Genomic DNA, 12,170 nt, shown 5'->3' with positions numbered 1-12,170 from the left:
CGGTTCTGATGCCCTCACCTGCCATATACTCTTTAGCTGGCCATTTCCTTGGACCTCAGCTCTGCTCTATAAACTAGGAGTAATAATACCTGTTACCAAAGGCCTCTTCTGCCAGATCACCTGAGGTCAGGAGTTTGAGACCAACCTGGACAACATGGTGAAAGCTCGTCTCTTCTAAAAATACAAAATTAGCCAGGCGTGATATTGCGTGCTTGTAATCCCAACTACTCAAGAGGCTGATGCAGGAGAATCACTTGAACCCAGGAGGCAGAGGTCGCAGTGAGCCAAGATCGCACTACTGCACTCCAGCCTGGGCGACAAGAGCGAAACTCAAGTCTCAAAAAAAAAAAAACAAAAAAAACAAAAAGCCTCTGTCTGTTGCAAAAAGCTACTGTGAAAATCAAATGAGATAAGAGATAAGATGTGACACAAATACAAGGTAACTTTTTGAGGTTCTTAACCCCTATTTGATTTTAAGCTCCCTGGGGGCAAGCACTCTGTTTTTATTCCATTCATAATTTCATTCTCCTTAGTCCACAGAGATATTACTGACACGTGCATGTTTGACAGCCTGACTTCCCAAGTTGCTGTGGACCTCTAATTTGGTCTGAGGACCATTTTTGCTATTCCTCTTTCTCCAGACTTACCTTGGAGCCTCTTGGCCAGCTCACGAGTAAAAAGCACATTGGCCAGCTTGCTGTGGCAATAGGCAAAACCCCTGCTGTAGCGCTTCTCGCTCTGGAGGTCGTGGAAGGGAATCTTGCCAATGTGGTGAGCCACCGAGGACACATTAACCACCCGTGCAGGGGCAGACACCTTTAGCCGCTCCAGGAGCAGGTAGGTGAGGAGGAAGTGGCCTGTGAGGAGAGCCAGCAGGGAAGATTGAAAGTGGAATGACAGCCCAGGCTCAGCATGTGGGAGCCAAGAGGACTTCAGTGTTAGCTCACTATCTTCTGGGTGTGAACCAATTTTGATGCCATGAGTAACTCTAATGGTCAGTTTGGTCTGAGTTTGTGGATTCCTCAAAGCAAGAGCCAGAGCTAGACTACAAGTAAGGCAATCATACTTAATTATATTACTTTGTACCTCTGCCCTTGACCCACCTGCTGGCTTCCAACTCCCACTCTGGCCATGATCGCATAACTAGGGACCCAGGTACACTTGTGTATAGGCAGAAGGATAGAACAGTCAGGGAAGATAACATTTGCTTAGGATCAGAAAACATGCTCCATGCTCTCCTCCCTAAAGTCTTTGCCTTGAACGCTGAACCCCACCCTGCCTCGTACTCAAGTTCTCAAGGATTGCCTACCTCCGTGGACCAACCCATGGCTTGGTTGGCCATCATGTAGATGTGACCCCTCCAGCCAAGCCCAGATGCCTGCATAACCCCAGGTCTGGCCCTGCCTGGCAAGCCTTGTACTGCCACTGCCCCATCCAAGAATGACATTCTTCTCCCTGGTATTTCCTGAAATTTGGGGCTTCTTAATGGTATGGGTAGGAAGATCTCACTTTTTTAGACTGATCAGGAGAGGTACAGTGAACAACAAGCCAATGGGTCTAGTCTATTGGAATTCCTAGGCTCTATGAAGGCCCCTGGACATTCTCCACATTTACACAGTGTCATCTTCCTAAAGAAAAGATAGTGGGTGTACCTCATTTTTTAGTCACCCAAAGATACTTACCCAGGTGGTTGACTCCCAGGTGGGTTTCAAAGCCATCAGCTGTCTTGGAATATGGACACATCATTACTCCCGCATTGTTGATCAGAATATGGAGCTGCTTTTCCTCTATAGGGCACAACCAAAGAGATCCTATGGTTAGCAAGGAGTCCCCTAGCTGCCTGTAACAGACCTGCATAATTGCCCTTTCCCTTTGTTCATTAGTTGTCTTTGTTGGGGTAACATTTTGATAGGAGTCACTTGCTCTGCCCCTTCCTTTTAAAACAAGGTATTGCCTCAGCACTCAATAACTATCCTTCATTTGGACCTATCTCAGTGACATCCAATAAGCATTGTCACTGGGTTTCTAATGAGTAATTTTAGTTACTCATATCTTCCTGGACATTGTTCATTCATTTATTCAGCAAATGTGTACTAACTACCGACTCTGAGCCAGGTGCACTCTGCTGGGCACTAGGAATCCAGTGGTAACACAAGCCAGACATGGTCCCAGGATGTCCCTCATGGATTTCATAGTCCGTGGTAGAAGCTGGTCATTTTCCAAGATCCAGAAGAACTTGCCAGCAGCACAACTTCATCTCATGCCTATGGCCACACAAGGTTGATTCTCAGGATGAAAGAAGAGAGTGGCATTGTGGCCACACCTTGATGCCAAGGTGCAAGCCCAGACAGGGAGCTAACACCTCCGACATTCCCATTGCTGAGGCGAAAAGATGATAAGGATCCTGCCCAGTCTATCTACCCACCATCCTCTTGCCAATTCCCTGTCCTGCTGGTTCATGTGGCAGAACCTGTCTAGTGGGGTGGATGATGGTTCTGATGTAAGGGCCATAGATGGTCTAGGGTGGAGCAGCCACTCCCATACCCAATTTCCTGCTTTTCTACCTACCCATCAGGACCTCACCTGCCAGAAAGCCCTCAGCAAAGGCTCGGATAGATTTGGTGTCGGATAGGTCCAATTTCCGCACCAGCACCTGGGAGTTCTTTGTATCCACTCGGATTTCACTGGCAGCAGACTCCCCCTTCAGTACATCTCTGCAGGCAATATAGACTCGGGCTCCTGGGTCCAAGACAAAAAAAGAGCAGTATGTTCATATCCTAGGCTATAAAGGAGGTATAGTAAGTGAGCTTGGGACTGGGGGACAGAGCATTCATTCTCCCAGCCATCCTTCAACGGTAGAGTGAACATATTGCCACTTCGGGCTTTTCACAGTAGTACTGTTCAGTCTTCTTGCTGTCAGTTTAATCCCAGGCTGGGAACCTGGTTCCCAGGTTTTACATTCTGATATTTAATGTCACTTAGTATCTCCTTTTAGAATAACTGACTTGGCTATACACAGACATCGTTTTCCTTATTTTATTTAATAGAGAGGGAATAGGAAAGAAGCAGTTTATTGGAGGCCACAGTGTAAGTTGGTGTCACAGTTGGACTTGAATCCCAGGTTCCTTGAATTTCTAGTCAGAGCCCCCAAGCCTAGGAGGAAACACAAAGCAATATGGACAGAGGCCCCAGTGGGAAGAAGGGTGGGAGGCATGGCCCTTTGGAGACTAAAGGGGAAACACTTACCTCGGCTAGCGAGCTCTCTGGCCGTCTCCTTGCCAATGCCCGTGTTGGCGCCAGTGATCACCACTACCTTGCCAGGAAGCTGCACATTTGTTCTACACACTCCACCAGCAAAGAACTTCCTATCGGCAAGGGAAACAAGAGCATCACGTACCATCCTTCACGAGCTCACACTAAGATACGTTAAAAAAAAAAAAAAAAACTCTATCCAGCCTCAAAGAAGGGTATCTTTAAGTTGCAGTCAGGAGACTCATAAAAGCTAACCTTCATAGGACAACATTTTTCCATGGGGCAAGGTAGTCGCCTGTTTATCGGTGCAGGTGGGAAGATCACTTGCCCAGAAGCCACAAATAATCATATTAGCAAACAGAGTAAATGCTGGAGTCAGGGCCAATGGAGACTTTCCTTGTTAGATAATAAATACATCTAGCTCTTATCTCTAGAGGTTCCAGAGGAAAGCTTTCCCCTCTAACCTACATTCAAAACATATGCATGATAAACATTAGCGGAGTCAATATTCAGTAACCATCATCATGAGTAACTGATGAACAGCACTCTGTGGGGGGTGGCACACACAGGTACTGCTCTTAGCACTCTGGGGGATGGCATACACAGGTACTGATCTTAGGCTGCCTCTCCAGTTTTAGGGAGTGGGTCATTTCCGAGGCTTTCAGCCATTGTATTAGAGATTTCATTCTGGCCGATGGCAAACAGAGAGAAAACCTCCTTTGTTCAGACCTCTGTGCAGAGAGCACTCTTTTACATGAAGTTGACTTCACAGGTCCTAAAACAGAATACGGAGGGGCAGAACTAACATTTCCTGCACATCATCTGACTGCCAATTACTAGTCTAGGCACTTTCCATATGTAATTTATTTTAATCCTCTCAACTTCTCCAGTATTATTTCCACATTACAGTAGAGAAAACTGAGGCTCAGGGAGGTTCATGTCACATAGTGGTGGCAGAAGTGGGACTTGAACCCAGATCTCTATGGAGAACCTAGAATAACACTGTCCTTGGTAGGTCCATTTAACCTCCTTTATCATAAGAAATTTTTTAGGCTGAGCCCAGTGGCTCATGCCTGTAATCCCAACATCTTGGGAGGCCAACGTGGGATGGTCGCTTAAGCCCAGGAGTTTGAGACCAGCCTGGGCAACATAGTGAGACCCCCATCTCCACAAAAAATTTAAAAAGTAGCTGGGTGTAGTGGCACCTGCCTATATTCCCAACTACTTGGGAGGCTGAGGCAGGAGGGTTGCTTGAGCCCAAGAGTTCAAGGCTGCAGTGACCTATGACTACACCAATGCACTCCACCCTGGGGTGACAGAGCAAAAATTAAAAAAGAGAAATTTAAAAATTCTCCACTCAGAACACACTTTTATTTGACACCTCTAGAAATCCCACAGCAAAAAAGCCATCCCAAAACATTAATTGAGGGTAGTCTCAAAGGCAGAAGAGTTTGTTTCTTTCCCAAACTACCTGGTACTTAACAGCATGACAAGCCAGCAGGGCCACCCTGAATAGGGACAGAGTCTCCGAGTTCTTCAGAGACACCCAAAGGAATAAAATGAAAACGCAAGGACTCCCACCTAAGGTGTTTGTTGAGCTACTTGACAGAGTCATCCATGCAGCCTTCCGCTGGCAGTAGAACTCTCCCCAGAGCTCAGGTGGGGCCAGAACTCAGCCCCACCTCTGCCCGGCCGCAGATGCTTCCTTCTGGTTTTCCACCATGGTATCCACAACACCCCCTTCCTTCCTGCTTTTCCTGCCCTGACTTTCTCCTCTGTCAGCCTCCTTCCCTTTCTCTTCTTTCAGCAGCTGAGAACCGGCTTCCAGTGCAGGTCTTTGTAAACGATTGTTTGAGTTGCTGAATTAAGACAAACCTGATGGATGGAGCTACCATATACAGGAACGAGAAGAAGGAGGTGAGCAGTCCCAAGGTGACCAGCATCGTTCCAACTTCTGTAGCTGCTGTTGCTTTTGCTGCTGCTCCAGCTTCAACCCCAGCTCTGGCTCAGGTTCCTGGTCTGGCTCCAGCTCTTGGCTGCTTCTGCTGCTTCTCTGCTCCTCTCCGTCCTGGGTGCTGAGCAGCAGCCTGACTCTGAGCAGAGCCCAGAATCCTATTTAAATCCAAGAGCTGTCAGAGCACAGCCTGCTGGGAGATGTAGTCCTGGTGGGGAGGGGATGGAGTCAAGGTTTGAAGCTTACTTAGGTTTACTGGCAAAGAGAATGTGGGGAAACTAAAGCAAGTACCCCCTAAACCCCCCATCCTCAATTGTTTCTCTTCTCTAGGAAATGTGTTCTCCCAACCACTGCCACCTCTACTGCAAGATGGAATATATAGAATATTTCTAACTTTAGCCACAAACCCCATGATGCTTAAAATATGAGTGGATTAAAATAGGATGGGAAGGAAACTCCCAGAAGAATGGAGAGAGACGTCAGAAGAGCAGTTAACCTTAGGGAGGAGGGGGCAGTGACTGGGGAGGGAGATGACTGGAACTCCTGGAGGGCTGAGAGTGCTCTGCTCTTTCATCTGGGTGCTAGTACATGGGTGTGCTCACTTTATGAAAATCTGCTGAGTCGTATGCTTTCGACTTGTGCACTTTTCTGCATTTTATATTTTACTTCAATGAAGTTAACACACGCACATGCATATTACAAGGAAAGGTATGGTGTTTAAGTGCATGGACTCTAGCGCTGAATCTATTTAAAAGCTCCACGGCCCTGGGCAAGTTACTAAACCTCTCTGTTAACTCAGTTTTCTCACTTGTACAATGGGTATGATTATATATATAATATATGGTTTTATATATATATGTGTTATACATATATATATATATATATATATATATCCCCACTTGTTCTAAGTGTTCAATTATTACATTGGTGGAAAACGAAACTGGCATATGCTAAACAGTATATAAGAGTCAGCTGTTATGGTTAGCTGTTCTGATTCGTATCTCCCTTGCTATCTCACTTGCTTTACTCAAGGCCATGGTGTAGAAAAGGGAGAGATGATGAACGTGGGTGATGTTTCAGTTGAATGCTATTGAAGATGAGGAGAAATACAAGAAAATGCTGGTAAAGAGCCCAAGGTAGGGGGATCCCTTGAGGCCAGAAGTTCAAGACTGAGCTTAGGCAACTTAGTGAGACCCTGTCTCTACAAAAAATTATCTGGGTGTGGTGGTGCGTGCCTGTAATCCTAGCTACTCGGGAGGCTGAGTAGGGAGGATCACTTGAGCTCAGAGGTCAAGGTTGAAGTGAGCTAGGATCGTGCCTCTGGATGTGTGTGAGATGGGAGAAGGGTAAGTGGGATTCATTGCCCTTCCTCGCTCTGTGTTCCTCTCTTGGACAGAAGAATAGACAAGGAGCTGGGACAGGACCCCAGGAATAATTTCCCAGTTCTGTCCCTTCCTGTGAAGCCAGAGGAGCCTCCAGGAACACCCATGCATGAAAGACTTCTGTGGCAGGCAGGTGTTCATGTCCTCATTCATCAGTTCATCCTCAACACACATTTACTGAGTGTTTCTCTGCACCAGGAATTGTGCAACATACTAGGAAGACACAGTTTCTGCCCCTGGGGAAACCCATGGACCTGACCAACAGAACAAGGAGTGATCAGATCATTCCCAGCAGACACTTCTTGACTCAAATCTAAGATCCTTGCATTTAAGAAGATGGTACTCACCTTAGCTTGAGCTTGTCCAGGAAGCAGAGAGTCCTTAAGAACAGCATACAGTCCTCTGGAGAGAAGATATTAGAAGGACCATAAGGCATCTAGAATTATGAAAATACACAAACACTTTGCTAAAATAAAATGTTAAATATTATAATCCAAAGGCCACCATCATATCATTGATAAGTTGTACCAAAATGCTAAACCATACTACTAAGTACAGGTAGGTGAATAGGCAGACAAATCAATAGAACAGAATGGAAAGGCAAGAAATAGACCCAAATACACATGGGCATTTAGATATGATGAAAATGCCATTTCAAATCAGTGGAAGGGACAGATGATTTAATTAACAAAGTATTGTGGCACCTAGGTATCCAGCTGGGAAAAAGCAAACTTGATCCTTCCAAAATTCGAATACCTCAAAGACGTAAGTATGAGAAATGAAACCACTGAAGTATTAAGAAGAACCACTGGACACATTTTTAGAGTGGTAAGACCTTTCTAGTAAGACAGGAAACTGAAAACTAAAACTTAAAAAATGAGCATGACAAAAACCATCATACACAAGGCAAGATAAATGAGAAACTGGGGGGAAATATTCATAACAGGCTTTGAAGACAAGAGACTAATTGATTTAGTAGATAAAGAACTCTTACAAATCAGTAAGAAAAGGAATAACAACCCAATTGAAATAGCAGTTTACAAAAAAGGAAATACAAGTGGCTCTTCACCCTCACTCATATGAGAGATGCAAATTAAAATTATACTGGGAGCCACTTTTCACTTATCAGATTGCCAAAGGTCAAAAAGATTGTAGTATGATCCACTGGCAAGCATGTGAAGAAATAATGCTGATGCATTGCTCGTGGGAGAGTCCATTGTTAAAGCCTCCATAGAGAGAAGTGTTGTAATGTCTAGTAAAGCTGTGCATGCACTCATTCACCTAAACATTCGACTTCCATGTATTTATAAGGTTACCATTATAGCATTGTATATTATAGCAGAAGTTTGGAAACCTCCTAAATGTCCATCAATAGTAAAGCCACATAATAGATAGTATACAGCTGTAAAAAAAGAATAAATAATTAAGAAACAGAATAAATAAAAAACTTAAGTAAATAAACATTAAATTTTGGTTGGGCACTGTGGCTTACATCTGTAATTCCTGCACTTTGGGAAACCGAGGCAGGAGGATCACGTGAGACCAGAAGTTCAAGACCAACCTGGGCAACATAGTGAGACCCCGTCTCTACAAAAAGGAAAACTAAAAATTAGCTGGCCTGGTGGCACACACCTGTGGTCCCAGCTACTTGGGAGGCTGAGGCAGGAGGATCACTTGAGCCCAGGAGGTTGAGGCTGCATTGAGCCATGATCATGCCACTACACTCCAGCCTGGGCAACAGAGCAAGACCCTGTCTCTAAAAAAAAGAAAAGAAAAAATAAATAAACTTTTCAGCAAAAAGACCCTGATAACCTGCAGGACACATTTCACAGGCTTCCAAATGAACTGCTTGGAAAAGGTCTTAAGACTGATGGCTTACATCCTGTCTCTGAGTAAAGAATCTTATCGTGAGGCACTCAAATTCTATTGCGAGTTCCTCAAACTATGTATTTATTAATTGTCAGGTTACTGATTAATACTGACATTGAAAGGGACATTGTTTTCTTTCTAAATCATAAAGCTCTGCTGATTTGTTTTTACTGATTGTCTTGTGCATAAAACATTTTAGCCTGTACGCTGTCATCCATAGGCAATGATTGTAACCTCTGTATTGTACCCTCCAATGGAAAAGGATAACTCCGATATGAGGAGTCCCCCTTCCTTCTCCTAAACAGTCTTATAAAAGCATTCCAACTTGTAACAGATGTTGGAACATGCCCAACTTTGTTGGTGTATCTTACTGGATAAATTCTCACATTTGGCTTCCAATAAACTTTTATCAATTTATCTCTGCCCCAATGGCCTTAATTTCTGTTGAAAACCGTATCATTTTGCAACAACTTACATGTTTATCTTTGTTAAATTAATCATTGCAGTATCACAAATAAAGCTATTTCTCAAACTGGTATCGAGACATTCTTAAACATGCTTTGGCACATAAGCAAAGCCATAATCATCACCCACTTCATCATTGTAATCAACATCAAAAAAGCCAGGGACCAATAGGATACCTGCTCTTTAGGGATTTTCAATCTGGGACAGATATAGGCATAAGTCACAGAGAGAAAGAGATGAAAACACCAGAGGAACCAGTGTAGGAATAGGCCTGAAGTTCAGTGATGACAGAGCACTCATCACTTGCAACACCTTTGAGAAGGATCCTCTTCTAGCCTCACCGTGAGTGAATCAATCACAGGTCAGGTTCCCGGATCAGCCATCCTCCCAGGGCTAACACTGAGGCAGGGATGTGTGGAGATCACATGCTATGAAGCAGAGCTGGGAAGCTGCTTGCTGATTTGACCTTTGGTCATAAATCATCTAGCAGCTCATACTGTACTGGTCTCCTGGTTATCCCTGTCCTGGATACCCTACTAAGAATGGAGCCTCTTACAAAATAGAGTGAGAGGGAAAACTGTAAACTTCTCTTTCTCTTCCTCCCTTCCTCCTTCTCCTCTTCCCTATTCTTCAAATCACATATTTTGGAAGCCAGATGAGACAGGTGGGAGATGACAGATTCCATCTTTCTACTGCAAGCCCTGCCCAACTTCCCTAAGGAGCCCGTACAGCACCACAGTTATTTCCTTTTCCAGCCATGAGGAACTTGCTGCCTCTTCCCATGCCCTGACCCCAAACAGCAAACCAAAATGGAAGCACATTTTTTTGTATTTGTTTTAACCAATAATAATGACTTGTTGTTCCTTTTTCTTGATTTTAAAAGCTAAAATAAACACACTGTCTTTCTCAAAGAAAAAGAATTTTTGCTGCTAGTATGTAACTTCCGTTGATTTTTCAAGGGATCAGCAACCCTTACTCTTAATTCACAGCAGGCACTATTGACATTTAAAAAAAAATAGAGACAGGGTCTCACTGTGTTGCCCATGCTGGTCGTGAATTCCTAGGCTCGTGTGATCCTTCCACCTTGGTCTCTCAAAGTGCTGGGATTATAGGTGTGAGCCACCACGCCCAGCCTATTGACATTTTGAGCCTTATAATTCTTTCCTGTGAGTGGCTGTTCCGAGTAAAGGAGGATTTTTACCAGCATCCCTGGCCTCTACCCACTGAGATGCCTGGAGCACTACTATCCCCTTGTGACAACCAAAAATGTCTCCTGGCATTGCCAGCTGTTCACTATGGGGCAAAATCACCCCCGTTTGGGAACCACTGCCCTCCAGAATGTAGGCCTAAAGGATAACCCTGGTGTATGTAGTATTGAAAAGGATTAGAGGACAGTAATGTTTTACTTAGTATCCCATGCCTTTCACTCAGCTGTAGCCAAGCTAACCTGCTTACTGTCCACAGCAAGTTATTAATATCCTCTCAGGGCCTAGGATGCTGGCCATCTACTAATCCTTCTGTCCTTAGAAACTTTACCTTCTCCCAGCTTAATTCTGTTTACCTCTAATCACTCCATTAGTCTACAATGGCTGGGATCTGTGTACACATATACTTCAAAAACACACCTCCACTGAGTGGCTTTCTGAGGTGATGGAAATGTTCTATCTCTCAACAGGACTTTGGGTTACATGAGTCTATGCCTTTGTCAAAACAGCAAATATATACTTAAGACTTGTGCCTTTCACTGTATACAAATTTTACATCCAAAGGAAAAAAAACTAAATAAATATTGAACTCTAGTTAATGAATGATATATATACATGCTGAAGTTTTTAAAGGGGAAGGGTACCGATGTCTGTAATTTAGTTTGAAGTATGTTAATAAAATAAAGTAGATTGATAGAAGGAAGTAAAACAGGCATTTCACTATATTTGTTTTATATATGTGATAAAACTGGTATAGTAAAATGTTAATGTAGAATCTAGGTTATGGATATATGGATATTTATTTTAAAATTCTTTTTTTTTTTTTTTTGACAGAGACTCACTCTGTCACTCAGGCTGGAGTGCAGTGGTGTGATAGCGGCTCACTGCAAACTCCACCTCCCGGGCCCAAGCAATTCTCCTGCCTCAGCCTCCTGAATAGCTGGACCCACAGGTGCCTGCCACCACATCTGGCTAATTTTTGTATTTTCAGTAGAGATGGGGTTTCACCATGTTAACCAGGCTGGTCTCGAATTCCTGGCCTCAAGTCGTATGCTGGCCTTGGCCTCCCAAAGTGCTGAGATTACAAGTGTGAGCCACCACACTCAGCCTGTAAAATTCTTTAAACTATTACAAATGTTTGAAAATGTTCAGATTAAAATGCAATGGAAGTACACATGCAGACATACACACAAACACGTGTGTACACACACTTTCTGTCATGGAAAATCAAGAAGCGTAACATTTCAAAATGAAAATTTTTTATAAATTGCCATATTCACTTTTTTAAAAACTTTCTAACATAAATGGAATTTTTTTTCAGCTGAAGAAATCTTTTATTGTGTTTAAGGTCCAACTTAAATATATCTCCTCTCTGCAGCTTTCACCTATCCTAATCAATCATTCACTTCTCTTGCTCCCATACACTATATTTGCCTTTTCTGTACAGCAGTCACAGCGGTTTGACTTATAACTTAGTTAGGCAATTTCTTTTTTCTTTTCTTTTTTTTTTTTTTGAGACGGAGTCTCACTCTGTCGTCCAGGCTGGAGTGCAGTGGCGTGATCTCGGCCCACTGCAAGCTCCGCCTCCCAGGTTCACGCCATTCTCCTGCCTCAGTCTCCAGAGTAGCTGGGACTACAGGCACCGGCTACCACCCCCGGCTAATTTTTTTTGTATTTTTAGTAGAGACGGGGTTTCACCATGTTAGCCAGGATGGTCTCTATCTCTTGACCTCGTGATCCGCCCGCCTCGGCCTCCCAAAGTGCTGGGATTACAGGCGTAAGCCACTGCCCCCGGCCTCTAGGCAACTTCTTATCTCATCAGCTCAGGGACAGAAATAAGCTCTACATTTGTGTTCCCCCAGCACATGGAACCAAGGTTTGCATGAAGCAGACATGCAATAAATAGTGGTGAATATGGTTGAGTTTACAGTAATCTCTCCCTGGTTATGAGATTCTAAGATATCCTAATTTAATTATTTGCAACTTCGTGAGTATTGCAAAATTTGGATTCCAATAGAAGTAAATGGTGAGTCACTCCTTCAG

General features: G+C 43.8%; 2 protein-coding genes across 3 annotated transcripts in view; both read right to left on the bottom strand.

The window, feature by feature from the left end:
- GPHN (gephyrin) overlaps nucleotides 1–12,170 on the bottom strand; it is a 1,227,209-nt gene that overhangs the window by 7,518 nt on the left and 1,207,521 nt on the right. The gene's annotated exons all lie outside the window — the stretch shown is intronic.
- The window catches only part of RDH12 (retinol dehydrogenase 12), a 32,566-nt gene that overhangs the window by 6,614 nt on the left and 13,782 nt on the right, over nucleotides 1–12,170 (bottom strand). Inside the window, exons 2-7 of one of the 2 annotated variants that reach the window (XM_047430965.1) lie at nucleotides 6,936–7,024; nucleotides 5,128–5,414; nucleotides 3,247–3,365; nucleotides 2,584–2,739; nucleotides 1,683–1,787; nucleotides 648–857 (exon numbers count right to left, since the gene is read on the bottom strand). In XM_047430965.1, the coding sequence (XP_047286921.1) occupies nucleotides 648–857; nucleotides 1,683–1,787; nucleotides 2,584–2,739; nucleotides 3,247–3,365; nucleotides 5,128–5,195 (658 nt within the window). In that variant the 5' untranslated portion in view covers nucleotides 5,196–5,414; nucleotides 6,936–7,024. The remainder of the gene's footprint in view (nucleotides 1–647; nucleotides 858–1,682; nucleotides 1,788–2,583; nucleotides 2,740–3,246; nucleotides 3,366–5,127; nucleotides 5,415–6,935; nucleotides 7,025–12,170) is intronic. The other variant, NM_152443.3, reaches the window with a different exon arrangement.

This window comes from Homo sapiens, chromosome 14, assembly GCF_000001405.40.
Source record: "Homo sapiens chromosome 14, GRCh38.p14 Primary Assembly".
Lineage (NCBI taxonomy): Eukaryota > Metazoa > Chordata > Mammalia > Primates > Hominidae > Homo > Homo sapiens.
Note: the sequence above shows the minus strand (reverse complement) of the source record. Positions and strands in the feature narration are given on the sequence as shown.